We start from the raw sequence: 26,297 nt of genomic DNA on the forward strand, positions 1-26,297 counted from the left end.
AAGCAGATAAAAGTTATCGATAATTCTACCTGCAATGAGCATTATGGAAAATTTTGGTGTATTGCTTAAAATAATTTAATATTCATTCCTGCTTATTAAAGGTTTTAGAATCTGGTAAAATTATTCTTATTTAAGACAAACTATGTTAATAATTTTTAGTCACCCTCTTTTAATCCCTGAAAGTTCTTTATTACTCTTCATTTGTAACCTCCATACACTTAGTCTGGAGTTCAGTGATATATGGGCTTCATTACTTAAAATACTCTAGATCTATAATCAGTTTTAGGAAATATGTGTAGTCACTTGATGATCCTCACCAACTACTTCTTCCTACAAAAGAGCATGTCTTTTCTTCTGTGGATTATTTAAATAATCCCCTACCCCTATTTTGTTGAGACTTTTAGGCAAAGGGATATATGCTTGGGCTATTCTTGTCAGATTCATTGTCTTTTCAAAGTGCTTTAGTATCCTGATCATTCCTACTATCAAAATATTTTCTTTCTGTCATTTTTGTTGGGAAATCATAGAAAAACATATACTTTATTTTTAATAATGTGTGACTTACCTAAGTTTTTCACTTTTAAAATACTGCAAATATCTGTCCAATCCTTACTGAGTCAACAGTGACTTAAATGCTTGATTTTGTTGTCGTTGGTGGTGAATAGTTCAGCCTCACTAAGACATGCTAATATTAAAGTCATCTTATCTGTTTTAAAAGCCCCCAGGTACTCAGAGCGGAACACCTAGTAAACCTTATTTACATCATCTTGCTTGAATTATGTCTCCTATAGGGTTCTGAGAATGAAGCGAGTACCTCAAAGTGTCAAAATCAGACTGATCTGGTTGGAGGCCAACTTGGACTAGTCTATATGAAAAGTGAGCATCTTAGGTGAGATTTTTAATGCCCATTAGACTTGTAGCATTGCTTGCTGTATTTTATACTAGTAGCCAGGTGTGGGCAGTGATACAGGGCTTGGGGGATCTCTCTTACCGGCCCAGGGATCCAAGGCATTCAGTGCAAAACCTGGCCAGCAGCCCGAGTGAGTAGGAGCCATGTGACTCTGGTGAGTTGGAGTGTGCAATTGCCTCCTGCTTCAGAGCTACCTGATCCGAATACTAAGCAGAGCGAGTGCCGGGCTGAGTGTAAGACACTGAAGACACTGCAGAGCAAGGTGCTTATTCCAGAGGCGTTACAAAACATGGAGATTAAAGACCAGGGAGCCCAAATGGAGCCGCTGCTGCCTACGGTAAGAGACAACCTGCTATCACATAGATTAACCGCGTTTGCTGCAAAACCTGTTAGGCAAGCGGTCTGCTAGCTAGGTGCAGCGAGTGTACTTTTGGGGTGGTGGATAGCTCCTACGACATATGGACAGGGGTCTCCTCCCATCTTGGGAGACTGAAATGCATAAAGCAAAGCACACGATTCTCCTCCCCCCCCCTTCTCAATATGGATGCACTACGGTGATGAAATGTCTCATGTTTGCTGCTGTTTGAAGAAATGGCTAGGTTTTAGCAGCAGGGGCAGTTACGTGTCTCTCTGCCTGCCTGTTACTGCTTATCTCTCTGATTCTCAGGCTGTGTGCTGGTTTAAGCCCTTGCAGAGAAGCCCCCTTTTATCATGTTTAATCCCTATCGAATTTCCTCCCCCTGCCTCATCCCCAGGCAGTGAGGTGAGGGAATCTGCTGCTGTTGCAGCTCTAGAGATTTAGTCTCTACAGAAACCAGGGGAAAGAACAGAAGGATCGTGTGTGTGTGTGTGTGTGTGTGTGTGTGTGTGTGTGTGTGTGTGTTCTGTCTCTTTCTCAAAGGCAAATGTGTCATGGTTTTTGTACAAAGAAGGTATGCATTTTTGGGGGACAGGCACACAATTCAGATGTGAATATTAGAAAGGTTTCTGAACTGTCATTTGGTAATAGCCCATCTGTTTACCTCTGGGTTCTTAAGCTGTTTCCCTACATTTAATTTTTGTGTAAGTGATGGATTTGCCTATCCTCTCCACAATCTCTCTGTCTGGCTCGCAGACTTTGGAGATCTTCAGGCAACATCTTTTTCTGTCTGGAGCAGCTGCTGTTTCTGTGTTTAAGGAAAAAAGAAAAAAAAAACCCAGTATTTTCTTGATGCAACAGAGATGACAGTCATAGCTTCCAGCCATCTATCAGTGCTACCACAGCAGAAATCCCCTCCCTGCACCAAACCAGACGGAGGGGCTGTTTCTCAGCTCCCTGTTACTAAGGTTGGTGACCCACCTTGCGCGGAAGGGACTGGCGGTGAGCTGTCCATTTCCGAGTCCATTCCTAGGTTTTCAACAAAATGCTTCCGTAGGAGGAGTGGGCAAATTCTGGGCCACAGTATTTTCAGGGCCTTACCTCTCCTGCCGGGCTCACATGCTGCAAAAAGATTCCAGTTTGCATCCCCGGAATCAACTGTGGCGACTGAGCATGCCCAGTTCTCCTGCGGACGCCAGGTTTGAGCAGGGAGGGAGCAGAGTGATGGGAAGAATGCAAGGAGTTACCACCAAGAATAGAGTCTCAACAGAGGACAGGGGCAGTGTCGGGGTAGGGGGCCGGGAGAAAGGGAACAGGAGAAAGAAGTTTGTCAATTACCCTGTCTGCCTAAAAATAGAGATATTTCTTTGTGGCATCAAAGTGGAGTTATAAAAAAATACGTGTAAAAGATTTGTCTATCTTCCCAAACTTGAACAAATACATAAATTAGGATTCTGTTAGTACTCAGAATAAATACTGTTAAGAATACCAGGGAACTCTTCTTCCCTGGATGAGAGACGGGAACTATACACAGGAATCGTGGTATGGGGATTAGGGAAGGTTTAGGGAAACCCCCAACCCTTTTTTTGGCTGGCAGTGGGGGTGGGGTGGGGTGTTGGAACCTGTCCTAGAAAAGCAGGCTAAAGCCAGTTTGATGTGGCTTATGGATTGTCACTTGTGGGGAACAGTTAAAGGGTTTAGGACCAAATGAGGATTAACTAGAGGAATTTAAAAGAGGATGACATTACTGGGCTAGATGGGCAACCAATTTATAGCTTAAAAGAGCAGAGAAAATACAAGTCTTTCCTGAAAAGAAGGTCTACAATACATCTGATGGAAATTTTTGAAGGCCAGAGTCAAAAGTTTGCATGTCATGGGGTTAATGGTCAGTACAAAATAGTGACAGTTTAATGGTAAGAGGGAATCATATTAGCAGATCATCACAAGAAAAACAAGCCTGAGGGGCTAGAGAGGATGCTGAATTACTGGTCCAGTTTTATACTTGTATAGCAACTCCCCCAGTTGCTTTTATGAAAACCTTTTTTGTTTAATTTTCAAAACAAACATGTTATGTAAAGCAGATTTTATTATTTTCATTTTCAAGGTGAGAAATTGAGGCACAGGGAGTCTGAATAACATGTCTAAGATCACCCAGTGATGAAACCAGGACTAGAATTTAGGTCATCTAAAACTAGTTCAGAAATTGTTTTAAAAATTCAATATTTTTTACATTACATTCTTAACCAAGCTTAACATGATCAGTTCCTGGGCTGAAGTTTTTACGCTTGGAAGAGAGCTCTGGGCTCTGTTTTAGAAAATTAATCAGACGACTTTGCAAATAATTTTGTGAGAGGCAATATAGCATAATATTTAGAACTCAGTCAAGGCCAAACACTGCTATTTATTTGTTATATGATATTGGGAAAGTTATAAGTTACAGTTTCTTCAACTGAAAAATGAAAAGGGAATGTTATTATATATCTCTTGAGTTTTGGAATCAGTTAAATAACTTATATGAAGTTCCTGACATTTAGTAAGTGTTCAATAAAACTTGCTATTATCATTGTCAATGTTGCTGTAAAATGAATATATTATTGCTATATTCATCTCAAAGTAGATATTGAGAGGATGTATAGGTTTCAGGTTTTTATGAGAAGTGGCTTGTCAGTACTTTCTACCAAGAAGGAAAAATGGAAAATGGAGAACTGGAAAAGACTCTTCATAGTGGAGGTGGGAGGTGGCGTTTTTTAGTTATAATTATGAAAACTTTGCAGTATGCTTGGAGAGCCAATTGGACAGGCATTAAAAGCCAAGATTAGATATGGGACAGAAGCAGTCAGAGGTAGAAAGATAGGGAAGTGAAAGAGAAAGGAAAATAAGAATAGATAAGTATGTCAAATGAGTGAATGTATTAATCCTGACTCAAGTGAAATGGAGGAACAGATTCTCATTAAGCCTCCCAGGGTTTACCTCCATTTAGTATAGTATATATAAAGTACATTTGAAGGATACGGGCAGAGGAGGCCTAGATATGTTTCTCTTTTTTTCCCAGTCCTTCTTAGGAAGCTTCAGTGATAATTTCCTTTTGCTGGACAAGCCATCATTGCATTTTGTAGACTCTAATCACTCCAAGGGTTAGGGCGTTCACTCTTGTTGGCTAAGTGTATAGTCTGGTTTTGGTAACAACTGACTGCTATGTCTGAAGTTACAGAAAAAGTGTGTCAGAAAGATGTGTTCTCTTAAGTGCCTACTGTTGGCCAAACACATTCTTGGTGCTGGAGATGCAGCAATAAATAAGGCAGGCAAACACCCTATATATGTGAAACCTCACACTCCAGCTAGACTAGAAATAGGACTCGATTTAACTTTTTAAGAGACTGCTGCTTTCTCTTCAAAATATTTAATAATTGTTATAACCTTTTTGATATGGATATATATGGAGAATATATGTAACAGTAATAATGGTGATATCATTTTAGTAAGAATGGAATTAGCCTTTTAAAAGTATGAAGCCTGATATTTAGGATTGCATTATGATTTCACATTTTCCTTTGATATTCAATGTTGAATTTGCTTTTAGGAGTAACCTAACAATTTAAAAATTATCAGGCCATGGAAGAAGCTTCCAGAAGAATATATAACTTATATTTATATCTCATGACGTTTAATCTTGGGTGATCTACAGTGAGTCTACTTTGGATCCCTTCTAAGATTCTGATGTCTGAAAAAGGACTTAAGTTGAGCTTACTCATAACATTTCCCTAAGGTATAAAACTACAGTAAAGTTCACTTTTAAAAGATAATTTGATGATATAGGATAGATGATTGGATTTAGTACTTTTAGAAAATGCTAATTCCATATTTCCAAGTGGCCCAGTTTATTGAATTGTTTTATTTGTGGAAAAAAGTTATAAAAAGTCTTTAATGTAATTAAATCAGGGAAAGAAAAATGGGACTAAAATGTCAAAGTAACAAAAAGAGCACATGGAATGGCTAAGTAATATTGTTTTTTCTATTCAATTTGCATTGAAATTTAAATTATAATCTGAGTTTAAAGAAAACATACTCACTACACCTTGTAGTCAGTAGGAAGCAAAATGCAGTATAAGAAATTAATCCCCGTTTCTACTTTCATGATTTGAATTGTTACTCTAGCATGGTGAGTGACTATGGAAATAAAATATATGTATAAAATGCTAAGGTTGGGAATGAGTGGTAGAATCTGAAGGCTATAAGTATTGAGTTTACTTATTTATTAATATTATGTTTATGATAAAAATATTGAGATCAGATTAGGAAGTGGGCTAGTTTATGATGAAGAGTTAGAAAATATCTGGGCCAAGGTCTGGAACTCAAAATACAGTCAGAGAGCATGGTCAGAATACAATGATACTTCCAATATATCATTTCTTTCTAACCTTGAATGATGGTTGCTTCAGAAGTCTAAACTGGGCATGAATAGATTGCAGTGTATTACGATGGCCCGCAAGTAAATGGAGAAATGTGGATGCCACTCTCAGCCCTTCTGTGAGAGAGACTTCAACTCTTCCTTTCCCATATCACATAGGACACATGACAATGATCATTTGACTTCCTGTGAGGACACCATTGTCAATCTATATAGTAAATATTAGTTAAGTTTTATGTTTTATTTTTAGGTAAAATAAATTTAGATTGAAGTTTTAATATATTCTCGCACCACAAACAGTTGTCTCAGATACTCTTTGGGGTGTACTACTTTTTTTTTTTTTTAGAAAAAGGGAATAATTTGTGTGTGTTGCATCTTTTATGGAATTATATGTATATATATTTTAATGGGTCTTATTTTTGAGAGCGATATAGGTTCGCAGCAATATTAAGCAGAAGGTACAGAGATTTCCCATATATCCCCTGCCCCTTACACATACATAGCTCCCCCATTAACAAGATCTCTCACCAGAGTGGTACATTTGTTACAGTTGATGAAACATTATCACCCAAAGTCCACAGTTTGCATTAGGACTTGGTGTTGGACATCCTATAGTTTTGAACAAATTTATAATAACATGTATCCACCATTATAGTATTATACAGAGTCATTTCACTGCCCTAAAGATCCTCTGTGCTCTGCCTATTCATCCCTCCCTTTCCACTAACCCCTGGTAACCACTGACTTTTTTACTTTCTTCATAGTTTTGCATTTTTTAGAGTATTATATAGTTGGAATCACAGTACATAGCCTTTTCAGATTGGCTTCTTTCATTTAGTAATAGGCATTTAAATGTATTTTCATGACTTGATATCTCATTTCTGTTTATCACTGAATTATATTTCATTGTCTTGATGTACTACAGTTTATTTATCCATATACCCACTGAAAAATATCTGGGTTTCCTCCAAGTTTGGCATTTATGAATAAGTCTGGTATAAACATCCATGTGCAGATCTTTGTGTGGACATGTTTTCAATTTCTTTGGGTAAATACTAAGGATGTTATTACTGGATTGTATAAGAGTATTTAGTATTTTTAAAAACTGCCAAGCTGTCTTTAGTAGTGGCTGTACTACATGCTATTCTCATGAGCAATGAATGAGAGTTCCTCTTGCTCCACACACTTACCAGCATTTGGTGTTGTCAGTTTTTTATACGTTGTCGGATTGATTCAGTAATATTTTGTAGAGAGTTTTTGCATTCATGCTTATGAGGGATATTGGTTTGTAGTCTTCTTTTCTTATAATATCTTTGTTTGGTTTTGGTATTAGGGTGATGGCCTCACATACTGAGTTAGGGAGTGTTCCTCCTTTCTATTTTCTGACATAGATTGTTTTGGAAGGTTATTCATTGTTGACACCCCATTATTTTTAATAGATAGATTCATATATATTTTGACCACAGGATTGTAGAGATCAACTGGAGTCTAGATTTTAGACTGGCTCCTTAATTTACGGATGATGGAACTGGACATCAAAGACATAAAGAGATATATTTAAGGGCATGCTACTTATGATGCTAGTTAATGGCAGAACTCAGCCTAGAGTCCAAATCTCTTGATTATTCATTTATCATTCTTTCCACTATTATATAGTCTCTATTACTAGCATAGCATCAACGGCTGAGTTCCAAATTAAAATGGAAATTAGGCAGTTTGTAAAGTAATAATAGATATTGTCTCAGGCTCATGATAGGTACAAACATCTGTAATCCTCATGATAATCCTGAAAAGTTGCTAATGTTTTCCAGCCTTGCAGATGAGAAACTGAGGTCCAGAGATTTGTATAAATTATCCAAGTTCACATAGCTAAGAAGTGCTAAGCTAGGATTTGAAAATATTTTTTTAGTTAATAAGTAACTTGTCTCCCTTAACGCTAATTAAACAATAAAAAAGAATCCCATTATAAAACGAGCTTTCACATCTTCCCCTCCAATAAAATATGAAAGTACTCTGATACAAGGTGCTATAAAATGTCAGGTCTTTTTGCCCACATATTTCATGATTCCATTTATATGAAATGTCTAGAATAGGCAAGTCCTTAGAGACATAAAGTAGATTAGGGGTTGCCAGGACCTGGGATGTAGGGGAGAGTTAGGAGTGACTGCTAATAGGTACAGAGTTTCTTTTTGCAGTGATGGAAATGTTTTGAAATTACGTGGCGGTGATGGTTACACAACACTCTGAGTATACTAAAAACCAATGAATTGCACACTGTAAAATGGTGAATTTTATGTTATGTAAACGTTATTTCAAAAAATTATTTTAAAAGTAAGTTACTGTTTAGCATTATCATGAACAAGGAGAAGGCCGAGTATCCAAAAAATGCTTATATCAGTTACATTTATATAAATTAAGAAGAGGGCAAATAAAATATTCACAAAATAAAAATAACTTCCTCCCCCCACAAGAAATTCTTTACCACAAATTTGATTCTGTTTGTCAAGATAATGCTGAGATTGGTCAGGGTTTCAGGTTATTTGCAGACCTAGAGGTCTTGGAATATATCTTCAAAGCTGAGTTAAGAGAATATATGGTGCATTTTATGTACCAGAGAGAGAGAGAACTATTTCACTTGAGTCACACTGTATTTAGATATTTAATTTCTTATGGCAATATTTTGCAGTTTTGTCTTAGTGTAAATTTCTATGCAATATAGCAAGAATAACACAAAAATTGCAGAAGTGCCATTTATATAGTGGTTCCTACATTGAGCTTAAATACCAAATTCATGTTGAATTCCAAGTAGCTCAGAACTCGAGAGGTGCTCTCAGAAGATGAAAATGGAGATTAATCTACAAACTCAGTTGGATAGAGTGAGGATGTATTATAGCCAAAGACTCTTGATATAGTTTTGAATTAATGACAAAGTCCCTGTACCAACATCAGCAAGACTTGCTCATTCATCATGAAAATTATGCTCTAAGGATCTAATAAGCAAGTTTTTAAGGCAGAATTTTCCCATTGCATATTGAATGTGCTAGGTTGCTGGAGTGCCTCCAACATTTATTTGTAACTCCACTTGTTCTTGCTAATTCTGGAAAACCAAAATTATTTAGGGAAGGCTGTTTCTTTCTAGTGTCTTTTTTCCCCCTTTTGACTAATGAGGCTTTGATATAAAAGATGATGACCTAGTCAAATTTCAGAAAGCAAGTGACATAAAAAGTAGGTATATAACAACTACCAGATGGGATCAAAACATAGCTCTGCTTAGGAAGCGTATTTCATTATTGTTAGATCCATACAGCTTTTTTCACAAAGTGGTGAATTTCTGTTGATATTTAAGGTTTTCTGGGAATAAACCTCTCCAAATGCTTCTGATTTTCTCAGATACATGAATGTGGTTTAAAAATGAAAAGAAAAAAACCCACCACATACACACAACAAACCCAACACAGAGACAGCAGCAAGACACACCCTTAAGGTATAATATAATTTATTTTAGTGCATAACCATGTACTTTGTAGTATAACTTTATGATATAAATGTCTGTTAAAAACATGTCATATATAATTGACAGAACACCTATAGTAAATATAAAAATTTGGTATTTTTTTCCTAAACAACGGGATTATTGAAAACCTTACTCTTGAGGACCACCTGCATCAGAATTGTCAGGAGGGCTAGTTAAAAATTCAAGTTCCAGGCCTTATTTAAGCCTACAGTCTGAGAATATTAAAGGGTAGCACTAAGGAAACCAGCATTTAAAAAAACCTCTAGGTGATTCTTATGTACATTAAAGCTTGAGAATTTTTGCCTTAAATATCAACAAAATAGAAAAATCATCATATATTTTTAAATTATTTTAACCGTAAGAATGCTGGGAGACTAAGTTTTGCCATAAAACAGCCTTTTTAACAATAAATCATAATGGGCTAGAAAATTAAGTGCTTATTTACTTATTTAGCATATTACCTATTACTTTGCAATATTGTGTATATACATGTATATATATCCTGATGATTTCAATATATGATGGCTTGCTTATGATTTTTCAACTTTACCAGGGTGCAAAATCTATGGACATTCAGTATACTACTCAACTTTCCATGGTGTTACCTCTGGATAAACCCATTGTAAATAGAAAATGCCATATATGGAAGATGCACTTTCAACTTATGATATTTTCAGTTTACAGTGGGTTTACCAGGGCATAACTCCATTGTAGGTTGAGAAGCATCCATATGTGAATTATTTTACTTAAATGCAAATACATATAACTTGTTGCCTCAATCGGTGGCTGGATTCTTGAAAGCAGCTTATTTTAGATAATTTTTGTGCTGCTCTCACAGAACCAAGTGCATGGAACTCCTTGTTAAATATATCATGGGTAATAGATTAAGCAGCAACACTAGCAGACATTAATTGTTAAGAGTTTGGACATTGGAGTTGGAAAATTCTAAAAGTTTCAGTTAGGAGGTGTGTCAATTTTGGCAAGTTATCTAGGTTTTCAATGTCTTACTTTTCTTACCTACAAAATAGGAATGGTAATAATATATCTATCTCCCAGGTTTGTGAGAAGCAATGAAAAAAATACGTGTTATATCATTTAGACTAATGACTCAGTAATAGTAGCTATTATTCTTATTCTTGGCTTAATAGTTTTCCTTTTGAATGAAAATCATTACCTGATATGCACAATTAATTCAATCCTTGATTCAATAATGCTTACTCAATAACTCGATGTATCCATTTGACAGTAATATAGAAGTATGTCAATGATATAAATTGATAATTATAATACAGTACAATCCTTTTCCTAATAATAAAATTAATACTTGATTTTTAGGATCATTTGGAAGGCATCAAAAGTAAATATAAACTAATTTTATCATTTTTTAGCTTTTTATTTTGACTCTATTTTTACTCATGGAATACTTGCAAAAATAGTACAGAATTCCCATATCCTTTTCATCCACCTTGCCTTAACTTTCTAAAAACTAGAAAGTTAACACTGATACAATTATATTAACTAAACTACCATATTCGAATATCACCAGTGTTTTCACTAATGTCCATTTTCTGTTCTAGGATACAATTCAGAGTACCATATTGTGTTTAGATATCACATTTCTTTAATCTCCAGTTTGTGACAGTTATTAAGTCTTTTTCTTTCATGACCTTGTCACTCTTGAAGTGTACAGGTCAATGTTTTGGAGATTATTACTCAATTTGTGTTTGAGGTTTTCATGGTTAGATTGAGGTTATGCATTGTTTGTCAATAATACTGTAGAAGTGATGTTCCGTTTTCCTTTCTTTATATCAGGATATACATATCTTACTTCTGGTGACATTAACTTTGATTATGGAGGTATCTTCTGTTTTTTTCCCATTGAAAAGTCAAAAAAGTTTCCCTTTGTAATAATATATTTGGGGAGATACTTTGAGACTATATGAATTTCCTATTTCTCCTCAAACTTTTGCACATTAATTTTAGCACTCATTGGTAAATATTTCCTGTAGCACTTATGGAGGTGTCTGCCTCATGACTTTTTAAAACTTTTATTTGGTTTTTAATAGACACATAATAATTATACATATTTGTTCTGTAAATATGTATGATATGATGTTTTGATACAAGTATACGTTGTATAATAATCAAATAAGGGTAATTAACATATCCATCACCTCAAACACTTATCTCTTTATTATGAAAACATTCAAAATCCTTCTTTTTAGCTATTTTGAAATATACAATATATGTGTTAACTATAGTCACTGTACTGTACAATAGAACACCAGAACTTATTCCTCCTATCTAACTGTAGCTTGGTGCCCATTGACCAACCTTTACCCATCATTCCCTTCTCCCTACCTTCCCCAGCCTCTAGTAACCACTATTCTATTCTCTACTTCTACAGAAACAACTTTTTAAGATTCCATATATAAGGAGACTTCAAAAGTTTTGTAGAAAAATGTAATTAAAAGATAAAAATAAAATATAAACTTTATTTCTGATTATAAGCTCTATCAAGTTCAAGACACTTTTGTAAGTGATGATACCAGCCATTTAATTAATCCCTAAAGAACCAAGGGTCTTGGGAATTTAACCATGTCAATGCAGTCTCTCTTTTACATTAATAACTGAAGAAAAATGAGTGCCCTTTATGTATTTTTTTTAAGATTCACACAAAAAAGAAATTAGAATGAGCCAAATCAGGACTTTAAGGTGGATGCCTAATAATTTCTCATTGAAACTCCCTCAAAATTGCCCTTGTTTGATGAGAGGAATGTGTAGGAACATTGTTGTGGTAGAGAAAGACTCTCTGGTGAAGGTTTTCTGGGCATTTTTCTGCTAAAGCTTTGGCTAACTTGCTCAAAACACTCTTATACTAAGCAGATGTTGTCATTCCTTGGCCCTCCAAAAAGTCCACAAGGAAAATGACTTTAGCATCTCAAAAAACCGATGCTATGACCTTTGTTATTAATGGGTCTGCTTTTGCTTTGACTAGACCATATCCTCCTCTTGGTAGTCATTGCTTTGATTGTGCTTTGTCTTCAGGATCATTCTGGTAAAGCCATGTTTCATCTCTTTTGCAATTCATCAAAGAAATGCTTCAGGATCTTGATTCCACTTGCTTAAAATTTTAATTGAAAGTTCTGCACTTGTCTGCAGGTAATTTGGGTGCAGTGATTTTGGCACTGTTTTAGTTGAAAGTTTGCTAAACTTTAATTTTTCAGTCAGAATTGTGTTAGCTGAAGTATTGGTTATAGCTATGGTGTTGGCTATTGCTTGTGCTGTTAATCACTGGTCCTCTCCAGTTAGGGCACAAACAAGATTATTTTCTCCCTTGAAAATTGATATGAATGGTCTGCCACTGTGGGCTTCAACATTGTTTCTTCCCTTCTTAAAATGAGTTATCCATTTGTGAACTGCTGATTTATTTTGGGCATTGTCTCCATAAAGCATCAATGATTTCACCATTCTTCCACTCAGGCTTCATCATAAATTTGATGTTTGTTCTTGGTTCAATTTTAGCAGAATTTGTGTTGCTCTGATATGGGCTGTTTTAAAACTCATGTCTTATCTTTCTAGGTGCTTCTAGATACTCATCAGACATGTTATAACAAGTTAGTATGAGTTTATTTTGGTGCAAATTTTTTTTGAAATTCATGCAAATTTCTTTATCATACACATTTTCTGTGAACTTTTTGAAGACCTCTTGTATAAGTGAGATCATGCAGTATTTGTCCTTCTGTGCTAGACTTATTTCACTTAACATAATGTTCTGTAGGTTTATCTATGTTGTGAATGACAGGATTTCATTCTTTTTTGTGGCTGAATAGTACTCTATTGAGTGTGTATATTACATTTTTATTTTTATTTGTATTATTTGTTATTTATTCACCTTTTTTGAGTTGGAGTTTCATTCTTGTTGCCCGGGCTGGAGTGCAGTGGCACGGTCTCAGCTCACTGCAACCTCCAACTCCTGGGTTTAAGCAATTCTCCTGCCTTATCTTGCTGAGTAGCTAGGATTACAGGCGCCCGCCACCATATACCTGGCTAATTTTTTTTGTATTTTGAGTAGAGATGGGATCTCACCATGTTGGCCAGGCTGGTCTCGAACTCCTGACCTTAGGTGTTCCACTCACCTTGGCCTCCCAAAGTGCTGGAATTACAGCCACCACGCCTGACCTTTTTATTTTTTTAAGAGACAAGGTCTTGCTCTGTCACCCAGGCTGGAGTTTAGTCGTGCAATCATGGTTCACTACAGCCTCAAGGACCTGGGTTCAAGTGGTCCTCTCACCTTGACCTCTTGAGTAGGCAGGACTACAAGTGTGCACTACCATGCCTGTCTAATTAATTTTTTTATTTTTTTATTTTTATTTTTATTTTTATTTGTAGAGACAGGGTCTCAGTATGTTGCTCAGGCTGGTCTTGAACTACTAGCCTCAGGCAATCCTCCTGCCTCCGCCTCCCAAAACCACTGGGATTACAGGCGTGCATCACTATACCCGGCCTACATTTTTTAAAAATTATTTATGTATATAGATATATATGTATATATCTATATACATAAATACGTATATACATATACGTATATACGTATTTATGTATATATATCTATATACATAAATACGTATTTATGTATATAGATATATACGTATATATACATATATACATATATCTAGAGAGAGAGAGAGAAAGAGAGAGAGAGAGAGACAGAGTCTCACTCTGTTGTCCAGGCTGGAGTGCAGTAGCATGATTCTTGGCTCACTGCAACCTCTACCTCCCAGGTTCAAGCAATTCTCCTGCCTCAGCCTCCCGAGTAGCTGGGACTACAGGTGCCTGCCACCACTCCCAGTAATTTTTTTTGTATTTTTAGTAGAGACAGGTTTTTACCGTGTTTACCAGGCTGGTCTCGAACTCCTGACCTCAGGTGATCCGCCCACTTTGGCTTCCCAAAGTGCTGTGATTACAGGTGTGAGCCACTGTGTCCGGCCTATCTGGCTTACATTTTTAAATCCACTCATTTATTGATGGACACTTAATTTGACTCCATGTCTTGGATACTGTGAATAGTGTTGGTGTAAACATGGGAGTACAAATATCTCTTCAACATATGGATTTCATTTCCTTTAGATATATGGCAGTAGTGGGATTGTTGGGTCATATGACAGTTCTATTTTTAATTTTTTGAGGATATTGTCCATAATGGCTATACAAATTTATTCTCACCAGTTGTGAGAAAATCTCCACATTCTTGCCAGCATTTGTTTGTTTTCTCTTTTTGACAATAGCCACTCTAACTGGAGTGATATCTCATTGTGGTTTTGATTTGCATTTCCCTGATTGTTAGTGATGTTGAGCAGTTTTTCATATGCTAGTTAGTCACTTGAATGTCTTATTTTGATGAATGCCTAATCAGATCTTTCACCCATTTTTAAATTAGGTGATTTAATTTTTGCTATTTGAGTTTCTGATTTAATTTTTTGCTATTTAATTGTTTGAGTTTCTTATAAATTCTGGATATTTACCTTTTGTCAGATGCAAGGTTTGCAAGTGTTTTCTCCAATTAAGTTGTCTTTTTGCTCTGTTTATTGTTTCCTTTACTGAGCAGAAGCTTTTCAGCTTAATGTAATCCCATTTGTCTGTTTTTGCTTTTGTTGCCTGTGCTTTTGAGGTCTTATCCAGAAAATCCTTGCCCAGACCAATATCATGAAGCATTTCCTCTACATGTTTTCTTCTAGTAGTTTTATAGTTTCAGGTCTTACATTTAAGTATTTAATCCATTTTGAGTTGATTTTTGTATATGGTGATCCATAGGGTTCTAGTTTCATTCTTATGCATGTGGACATAGTTTTCCCAGCATCATTTATTGACAAGGCTTTTTCCAATATGTGCTCATGATGCTTTTGTCAAAAATCATTTGGCTGTAAATACGTGGATTTGTTTCTGGGTTTTCTATTCTGTTTCATTGATTTATGAGTCTGTTTTTATACCAGCACCATGATAGTTTGGTTACTATTGTTTTGCAGTGTATTTTGAAGTCAGGTAGTGTGATACCTCTAGTTTTCTTCTTTTTGCTCAGATATCTTTGTCTATTTAGGGTCTTTTGGGCTTCCATACAAAATTTAAGATTTTTTCTGTTTTTGTGAAGACTGTCATTGGTATTTTGATAGGGATTACATTAATTCTGTAGATTGCTTTGAGTAGTATGAGTGTTTTAACAATATTAATTCTTCCAAATCATCATCATGGGATATCTTTTCATTTGTGTCTTCTTCAATTTCTTTCCTAAATGTTTTATAGTTTTTATTTTAGAGATCTTTCATCTCTTTGGTTAAATTTATTTATAGGTATTTCTTTTTTTTAAGATAAAAAAAGACAAATTTTGAGCTAGACCAATTAAGAAAAAAAGAAAGACAAATAAATAAAATCAGAGATAAAAAAGGAGACATTTCAACTCATGGTCAAAGAAACACAAAGGATCATTATCAACAACTATACAACAAAAAATTGGAAAACCTAGAAGAAATGGATAAGTTCCTAGAAACATACAACCTGCCAAGACTGAATCATGAAGAAGTAGACAACCAGAACAGACCAATAACAAGTAATGAGATTGAATCAGTAATAAAAAGTCTCCCATCAAAGAAAAGCCCAGGTCCTAATGGCTTTACTGCTGAATCCTTCCAAACACATAAAGAACAAATGCCATTCTTCTCAAACTATTCCAGAAATTGAAGTGAGGGGAAATTTTTCCAAACTCATTTGATAAGGCCAGCAATACCCTGATACCAAAACCAGACAAGGACACAACAAAATAAGAAAACTACAGACCAATATCCCTGATGAACATATACATAAAAATCCTGAACAAAATATTAGCAAACTGAACCCAGCACATCAGAAAGATCATTCCCTACAATCAAGTGGGATTTATTTCAGGGATGCAAGGATGGTTAAACATATGTAAATCAATAAATGTGATACATCACATTAACAGAAAGAAGAACAGAAACCATATGATCATCCCAATAGATGCAGAAAAGCAATTAATAAAATTTAATATCCCTTTGTGATAAAAACCCTCCCAAATTAGGTAGAGAAGGAACATACCTTAACACAATAAAGGCCATATATGGCAAACACACGGTTAACATCATACTTGAATGGGGAAAAGTAGAAAGCTTTTCTTCAGAAATCTAAAACAAGATAAGGATGCCCACTTTGCCACTTTTATTCAACATAATTCTGGAAGTCCTAGCCAGAGCAATTAGGCAAAAGAAAGAAATAAAGGTCATTTAAATTGGAAATGAGAAGTCAAAACTTGTCCCTGTTTGCAGACTACATGATCTCATATATGAAAAACCCTACGCACTTCACCAAAAAACTGTTAGAGCTAGAACATAAGTGCAGTAAAATTGCAGAATACAAAGTACAAAATGCTAATTAGTAGCACTTTTATATGCCAACAGGAAACTATCTGAAAAATAAATCAAGAAAGCAATTCCATTTATAATAGCTCATGGTGACTATTTCTCTTATTCTTTCTGCATTTAGATATTTGAAATCTGTGGAGAAGAACTGTTACTTCTCCATTTTTTATTCAATTATTTATTTATTTCAGTAAGGACTCAAAGGTATTTATTTTATTTTCTGGGTCATAATCCAGTACTTTGTTGCTCAGATTGATTGTTTCATCTGTGGACATTGAGAACTCATTCTCAATGAATTCTCTCAATTGAGGGCTCCCATGTTCTTTTAACATGCTTCCATCCTTTTGTGAATACTCCCTTACAGTCTGGTACCACAGAGTTTTTCAACATTGTCTTGTATTTTCCCTGACTCCACTCTGGAATGAACCATGTCATTAAGGAGCTGCTGGGCTCATTTTTGAGGCTATCTATAAGTATTGTTAAAATTATTTCCAGAAAGATTGTATACCAGTTTTCACTTCCACTAGAAGCCTCAATGGTATTTAACAAACTTTGTCAATTAACTCGGTAAACATTTTACTAACTTTCTTTTGTATTCCATTTACAACTTTGTTTGCTATCAGTATTTCTCTATGAAGTAAGCTTTCTCTTTCTTTCCTTCCTTCCTTCCTTCCTTCCTTCCTTCCTTCCTTCCTTCCTTCCTTCCTTCCTTCCTTCCTTCTTTCTTTTTGAGATGGGGTCTTGCCATGTTGCTCTTGCTGGAGTGCAGTCGCTGGTTACAGGCATGGTCATCACAGTGCACTGCAGCCTCTGAATCCTGGTCTCAAGCTATCCTCCTACCTCAGCCTCCCAAGTAGCTGGAACTGCAGGCACACACCACCCTCCCTGGCCTGCATTTTCTTTAAAAATCACAGCTCAAATGAAACATTGAACTATTTGAAACATTATTTAATTTAGTTTACCAGTAAGGTGAATTTCATGGGTAACAAGGTATTACTGAAATGCTTGTGTACCTGGCTCCCTTGTACATTATAAGGTATAAGGTATAAGTCTCCAGCCTCATCATTACAGATCCTCTCTAGATACCATTTTGGCCATGACAATTTTCAATTTTTGAATAATGAATGAAATGGTTCTTTTGCTTCCTCAAAAACGACATTTTTTTTTAATTTTTAAGAGCAAAGTTGAAAGAGGTCCAGTTAACAAGGTATTTCAGTGTCTTATCCTTTTCCAATCTTACTGTTTATTACAATATGATAGGCTAGACAGAGACACTTGTTTTTATTTATTCTATTAAGATGATTTTTATGTACTTTCATTTATGTCATTTCTTATGAAGATACTCATTCTTATTTGAACTATCCAGTAGCTTTTGTATCATCAAAACCATGTTGAAGAACTGACCAAAAGTCATAATATATGACAAATTTGACAAAAGTAAAATTGCTAAGCCCCCCTATATGTTGTAAGTGAAATAAAGCATGATGATTTGAACCTTGCTCATAATGCTGATTTAATAATCCTGCTTTTTATCTTTAAGAGATTTGAAAAACAATTAGTTCTTAAGAGCTGAAATTAGGAGTAATCTATCTTAAATTGAGTAATCTTGTAGCAGTTATACCATAGTAATTGTTTCACATTCATTATTGTATTGTGAATATAGTAGTACTTTCTATTTAGATTTTTAACATATTCATTATAATTGGTTATCATGAAGACTAAACAACAACTTTCTGACATCAGTCCTCTTAGCCTGATATTAGAAGTTGTTTGGATAATAGTGCTAGTCTAATAAAGGGAGTTGGAATATCCAGTAAAGACCATTTGTGTAATATAAGGTAATATAATATTTTGCTAAATCTTTATGAGGATAATGAAATGGTGAACTTAATATCCACATTGTCCATTAAAAATACATGAAGCTGCCTCATAATTCAGGAACTTATAATTATACAATATTCATTTAGAAGGTATTGATTCAGCCTTGAATGCTGCTTTAAAAAATCGACTTTTCACAAAATTACTTTTAGTAACTTATAATTCCATCTGTTTCCTTTTATAATTTTAAGATATTCTTCCATCTCATTTCACAAAATTAATCTTCACTATCTCTCCTAGCAATATAATTCAGTATTCCTAACCTTTCACCTCCATCTAAACACATTTGCCCCATCTATTCAGATGGTAGCATGGCCTGGTATAGAACTAAAAGGATACATATATCTTTGATTCCCTAGTGTAGTGATGTATCTTAATGTAAAAATATCTAGTTAGCTAAGTAGCCCTTTTGATTTCAAATAGACCAAATATTTTAGATTGAATCCTAGAACCTAACTTTCATAGTTATACTGAAACTTTTGGCATTAGAATCAGCTTTTCTTGAAAAAATACATTTTTTTCTGTTGTTTTTCTTGGTTCAAAAAGTATCTTGAATGGGAATGGAAAGACTTCAAGTTTACTGAATCTCAGATGGTTCCATAAAAAAAGATTTGATGATTATGTTTCAATAATTTATCAATACACATTTACTTTTCTCTTAAAAATAATCTGCATATTTAGAAAAAAAGGCACAAGAATGTTTGGCAAAATGCAATTGAAATTTAGAACAAGTGTTAAAAATGAATGGTTCATATATTAATGAATCTTAAATTTTAGTTAACTCATTTACATTAACTCAATTTCTGTTAATGTCTTAGTGAGTAAGAATGGAAGTGGTAATGAAGTGGCTTTCCCGTCTTTTAAGAAATGCAGTAGGAATTCAACTCATTTAGGGAGGTGAAATTCTAATCATAGGCATAAGAAAAATATTGCACTGCTTTGATCGTAATATCTTCATGTAGATGATCCATGATTCATGAAAAATAGGTCAGTACAAATAAATAAGACTTAGTTAAAATTCCCATTTTAAGTCAATAGTTTCAGCCTCTGGTTTCTTAAACTTTTCACTAGTATTTTTGTAGCGAAGACAAAAATCATTTGGTTCAAGTTTTCTTTTCTCCAGTTCAGGTTAGAATATTAATGCTTTTGAGCTATTGAAATCTTCTAATGGAAATCTCATCCAAATTCTCATTTATTTTTGTGGATCCATATTTCATATCAAACTCCTTTAATATTTTTAAGTATTCTAACTAGAAATGGTGAAAAGGAAACAACCTGAGGCCAAGGTAATATGTAATTCAATATAGATAACTTATGTCAATGCATCTGAGTGTTTTATGAATTAAATCATGTTTCTTTGAAAAGTTGATAGAAGCTTACATTTCCACTGAATTTAATAATGAGGAATGTGCTGTTGTGCTATTAAATGAATAGAAATCAGACTTGAGGAAGGCAAAGGCCAAAAGGGTTTTACTTTTTATTGCTGCAGTTTGGATATTAGCATTTGAAAAAGCATTACTTTACTGAATCTTAATTCAAAGTGAACATACATTCCCTATAAATAGTTTGAAAATAAATTAATTTGAATTTTGAATTACACATGCCAATAAATGCTTAGTATTTTGGCTACTTTTAGTTCAATTTGACTGGCAGTAATTTACTTATAATATGGCATATATACTTTTGATGAAAAACTACATCCAAATATGAGTTGATGTTTAAAAATGCTTTACATAGAAATGGTATATATCTTACATATGACAAAAGAGATAGTTTTTTCATATACAGTTTAAACGTTTATCAGGTTGAGTCTACTAAGAGAGGGACTGGTAACTACATTTGGTTCTTATATTTGTGACTGACGTGGTCTGCATAAGGCAAGATATTTAAATATTTTCCATTATTTGTCCATTTTAAATATGTCCATGTTTTTATTATTTGCATTCTTTTCTATCATGAAGTCATTTAAGAAAAACTTCTATTCATTGCAAGGTAAAATTAATTGATTCAAGTAGAACATCTACTTTTGAAACAAATAGCAATCTATTAGGTTCAAATTAGGGGTGGGGTGGATTCAAAATAAGAGAGATGGTTCAAAATAGAATGGAGTGATTCCAAATAAGAGGATTTAGGATGGTATAATTCATGATTATGATGGCAGCACAATGTATTTGCCTGTCTCTTTACCCTTCTTTTATGTCTGGGTTTTGTTTGCTATACAAAGTCACTTCTTTCCTTCTGGCTTCTAATCTTTTTTTTTTTTTTCTTTTTCTTAACAACACTTATTAGATACTTATATGCATATATAGAAAGTGAGTTAAATATCTTAAGTGGTTTTAGATACATGAAATATCAAAGACAGAATGGAAGATTATGTTCCATAAAAAACAATAACACGACTGGGCATAGTTGCTCACACCTGTATTCCTAGCACTTTGGGAGACTGAGGTGAGAAGATCGCTTGAGTTCAGGAGCTCAATACTAGCCTGGCAACACAGCGAGGACCCATCTCTACCAAAAGTTAAAAAATTAGCCGGGCGTGGTGGTACGTTGCTGTAGTGCCAGCTACACAGGAGGCTGAAGAGAGAGGATTGCTTGTTAGAGGATGCATTGAGCTGTGATTGCCACTGCACTCCAGCTTGGGCAACAGAGTGAGACCCTGCCTCAAAAACAAAAAACTAGTAAATTAATGAATTAAAATTGCTTCACATCGTGGTGAAGTCTTATAATTTATTTTAAGAAAATTCTGTTTTTAGATTGACTCTATGAATGGATTTGAATAACTGTAAATATTTGATTATGTACAATTTTTTACTTATAGCAAGGTTTCAGGCTCAGCCAACATTTTGATGTGCTCACAGTAGTAACCAAACTATCCCTTATTTAAACTAAGACATTAATAACCTTTGAAATAGTGTTTATGATCTTACCAATTGTTCTAGAGATATCTTGTAGGTGTTCATAAGCTTCTGTTTTAAGCCAGAAGTTTTCATAAAAATTTTTATTTCTATCCACTATTTTTCAAGTAAAAGAAACACACAAATGAAACAAAATAAAATTTATTTATTAAAACATTTTGGAGCCTTTTTGGACTACAATTTGAAGTGATAATAAAGTTACATCAAAACAAGAAGGACTGGATCTTAACCCATCTAATGCTTTATACAATAAATGATGAGGCATGAGAGAGTTACAGGCCATTTGATTTTCAGAAGTAATAATTTAATAAGCAAAAGCAATTGAGAATTGGAAGAGACTATTTTTATTCTCAAAAGTAAAATGGTTATGCTATATTAACCCATAAGTTGTCCTTAAAAAGGAAATAGAAAAAAGTGTGTGTCAGGCCAGGTGTGAACATCCTACTTTATTTATTGACATCCACGTGTTGGAAGCAATTCGGGAATTTCCAATATTTTTTTTCTCTCTTGGCTTTATATGTTCCCATGAAACTATGGGCTTCTATGGAAATCTTATTAAAAATTCCAAATATAGTAGTAATATTTTTCATACTACAAGACTTCTTGTTATAATATTTTCTCATAACTAATGTAGTCAGGGTTACACCTATATATATATGGATTATGACAAAACATTTAATAATATAACCACAGAGAGAAATGTACAGAAAAGACAACATGTAATTTTTGTTAGCCTCATCCTGATATTTTTCCCCAGTTTTCCCCAAGTGAATTAGTAATTATGTCATATTAGTTTGACTTTCTAAATGCATATTCCTTTCTTTAAAACTATTACAGTGGTTTTATATTATGTGAATAAAGATACAAGAGTTCACCTTTGGTTATTTTGGATAAAGCCTGCAGTAGGAAACACATTGTATTGTGTGGATTTTGTTATATTTTCAATAAGCTAAGACTTTTTAAAAATATAATATTCCCCAAAAATTTAGTGTTGGCTGAACATTCAAATTGAAAACATAGTAAAGTAATTTTACATAAATCTGAGAGCCAGTCAAAATAATGAGCAATGAACATTTATTGAATGCTGAGGGATGTTTGGAAACTTCCTCTTAATTCTTGTTCACTTTTGAGAATCTGTATTATTTACAAAACTCCTTTTTAATATTAGTAAGCATTTACCCAGGGGTGGGGAAAGGAAATAGTCTAAAAAGGTGATCATATACTTCAATATATATAACTTCTATTAATGCACATGACTATGAATGAAATCATATTTTTAAAAAAGTTTGACAGAAGCTTAAATTTCCACTGAAGTTAATGGTGAACCATGTGCAAAATTTATCTATTGCACCAAAGGTTTTCAGCTTCTAGTGCTAATAGCTTTTTTGGGAATGCATATGTTATTTCATGATCTATTTGTAATGCAGCTAAGCAGATAAATTGATTAAGTTTCCATAGGGTCAGATTCAGAATCAGGCTAGAGATGCATAAAAGCAAAGTAGTTTTTATGACTCGTAGTGATAACTTAGAGTGCCCTCTGTTTAGATTCCTTGGTTTAATCCCATTAGAGACTAGCTAGGTATTTTTTATGATGTTCTTCAATTTTAGGAACTGAAATTTGCTTGATGATGCCTTTAAACCAAATGTAAAGGGATGGTTGCTAAAAACAAATATGCTAAAAATAAAGCAATGCAAAAATTTCTCTCTAACTTGTTTGAATTATGCATCACAAATAACTTGGAAATATTTTGAAGCTCTGAAGCAGAAAATAATAGGCTAACTTAATAATTTTCACACTATTGTTCCACATAGTGTGAAAGTCTTTATACCTATACTTTAGAGCTCAAATTTATCCTTGTATAGCCTGTTAAAATTTGAAAGTTCTATGTGTGAATCAGAAGAGATTTTAGGACATATTTTCAAATGTCTAAATAAGTAAATATATATTTTGTAATCAGTACTGCTGATAATACTCTAAGATTATAACTAGAAAATTATTTCTTCCTTGTAAATTAATTTCTTCAAAATTAGACATATCCAGTGCCATAGATATTTTTTATCCTTGACACAGTGACAAAAATTTATGGAAAGCCTTGCTACTATAATAGGAAAACATTTCACATTTGTTGAAATCCTCCCTTTCACCTGGTTTTCTTATGTATTGTTTCTGAAATTTTCATTATCTTAGTTACGAAGAGTTTTATGAGAGCATAATTTCTAACTTTTCCTCATTTATTCGCAGTTCTAAAATAGGTACTATTCTTGTAGCAGTGGCATATCTTCAGTGCTTAGAGATTTTAGAGGAGGCTTTTCAAAAATCAACTTTTTCTTCTTCTGGAATGATTATACAGGATCTTCTTAATTGAAAACTGTTAACGAAATCTGTTATGGTTCCTCTTTCATTTGGAGAAATCACACTGCCCTGATTTAACACTGAAACTAAGTACTTCCTCAGATGTCCTTGTAATCCCATAGTTAACAATATTTACATGCCTATCATGTTTAATGGTATATTTCCTCAAATAATTGAACAGATTAATTTCAGGTATTTCAGCCTGTCAGGGTGATTGTCAAGGAACATATTTATTTTCATGTCCAAATTAGAAGAGATTAAACCATGAAGAATTTGAAATATTAATTGATAATCAAGATGATATGTCCAAATAAATGTATGTCTCATTTTTCTGCATGCAACTATAATGATAAAAATAATTTTTTGATGTTGTGTTTGATCAATATCTTAGATCATTTACTGTGAAATAATTTATATATTAAAGTATTATAGATATACACCAAAATTTGAAATGAATTTTAAAGCCAACTTAGAATTTATATGTTTAAGAAAGAACTACAAGAAAAAGATGGAAGCACAACGTAGTAATGAAATGATTATCTTGTGTTCTTAGAGAAAAAAGGGAAAACTAGGTTGACTGAGCTAACCATAAAAGTATTAGCATGATATTATTAAAATGTATAGTAATTCTCTTTCAAACTGTTTTCCCTGTAGCTTCAGTTTCCTTAACACTTAAACATAGGTAATTTCTAGTTCTATATTTTATACGTTATAAATCTTCTCTCTGTCATCCAGATGTCACAAAGATCAGGCAAATTGGATTAGAGGAGAAGGTCCAGTCTCAATGACCACTTTTTCACTACTAGTACTCGCTGCAGAGCAATAATACCAACCCGATTAAATGGCATGATGGCTGGTTTTTAGAAGCTCTTCAAAAGTTCTTTTACTAGTGGTATAGCATTCATGCATTTTTCAAAATATTACTATATCTATGATCTCATTTCTGCCTCTGTGTTCTACATCTGTATGAAGTAATTAAGGCAGCAGCATTATTTTCAAGAAAAAATTTTAAACAAAATCAGGCTCAGTTGGGCTAATTTAACTGTGATGCAATAAGTCAGTGGCAAAACCAACACTAGAACTCAGATGTCTGGAATCTTAATGTGGTCAACTTTTTTTTTTTTCTGTTACTCTGTGAAATGGCAGCATTCTCTTATAGTTTACTTACCTGAGGCTGCAACTATACTTTTCAAAATAGATAATCTTATGTGATTACTTACTCATTCACTTACCCCTTCATTCGAATATTTATTGAAAACGTACAGTATATGCTATTGAGTGTTAAGGACTTGGCTCCGCTGACTTCAATTTCCTATCTAAGCTTAATGCTTGCTTGGTAAGAACTTTGAAGTGATTACTGTGATATTTATTGGAGTATTGTTCATCCTGAGACTCTAATAATTGATAAATAGGACCAAATGTTCTTTAAAAACAATAAATTCCAAATATTTGAAACAATTCATATAATTTAGTTGTAAAAAATAGAGAGCTAAGGTTTCCGTTGATCACCAACCCTGAGTGTTAGCCTCCTCCAATTTTCCCAGAATTAACCACTGTTTCAGTTTGGTGACTATGCTTCCAGACCTGGCATGTACCCAGGGATAATACATAACATTGAGGGTGTACCCCAATATGGTATCATACTATTGCTTTATAAATTGCTTTTTTATTTAAGCAATATGTTTTGGAGAGCTATGCATGTGGGTTGATTGATCTATCTCATTGTTTGTCTGTTGCATATTCTACAGTCTGTGTAACTATTTCTCTATTGATGGGCATTTAGGTCAGTTGTTTTTTATTTTTTTTCCTTTTATAAGTAATACCTCAGTGAAAAACTTATGTGTGTTCCTGGTAGATATTGAGATCCCTAGTTGCATCAAAAATTATACTAGATTTTCAGAAAATTGTCCTCCAGATTGGCTGACCCAATTTTTATGCAGTTTTTGAGATTTTTTAACTCGTCCTTTCTCCCAAATGTGATATTATTTAAAAATTGTGGGCCAGGAACAGTGGCTCACGCCTGTAATCCCAGCACTTTGGAGGCCGAGGTGGTGGATCCCTTTGACTCAAGAGTTTGAGACCAGCGTGGGCAACAAAGTGACACCACCGTTTCTACAAAAAATACAGAAAATTAGCTGGGCATGTTCCTGTAGTCCCAGCTACTCGGAAAGCTGAAATGGGAGGATGTCTTGAGCCTGGGAGGCAGGGTTTGCAGTGAGCCGAGATTGTGCCATTGCACTCCAGCCTGGGTGACAGAGCCAGACCTTGTCTCGAAAAAAATTGCTTTTGCCAATCTAATGATTGAAAAACAATATGTGACTATTTTAAAAATTGGATTTCTTTAGAATATATTTTCAAATTTAGTGGCCATTTCTTTTTCTGTGAATTGCCTGTTCATAGTTTTATCCACTTAAAAACATAGACTATTTTTTCTTACAGATTCTTAAGACTTATAGATTCTGACATTTTGTTTATTAATTATATTTCAAATCTCATTTTCTAGGTTTATTTTATTTTTAAATCAATTT

At 34.1% G+C, this 26,297-nt stretch overlaps 1 protein-coding gene across 22 annotated transcripts in view; it reads left to right on the forward strand.

Annotated features, from left to right (window-relative positions):
• The window catches only part of SLC4A10 (solute carrier family 4 member 10), a 360,855-nt gene continuing 335,654 nt past the window's right edge, over window positions 1,097–26,297 (forward strand). For all 22 annotated transcript variants that reach the window (NM_001354461.2, NM_001354447.2, NM_001354441.2 and 19 more), the window contains exon 1: window positions 1,097–1,247. Coding sequence is in view for 11 of the 22 variants with exons in the window: in NM_001178015.2 (NP_001171486.1) it covers window positions 1,200–1,247 (48 nt within the window). In the remaining 11 variants the exon portion in view is untranslated. The remainder of the gene's footprint in view (window positions 1,248–26,297) is intronic.

Source organism: Homo sapiens, chromosome 2, assembly GCF_000001405.40.
Source record: "Homo sapiens chromosome 2, GRCh38.p14 Primary Assembly".
Classification (NCBI taxonomy): domain Eukaryota; kingdom Metazoa; phylum Chordata; class Mammalia; order Primates; family Hominidae; genus Homo; species Homo sapiens.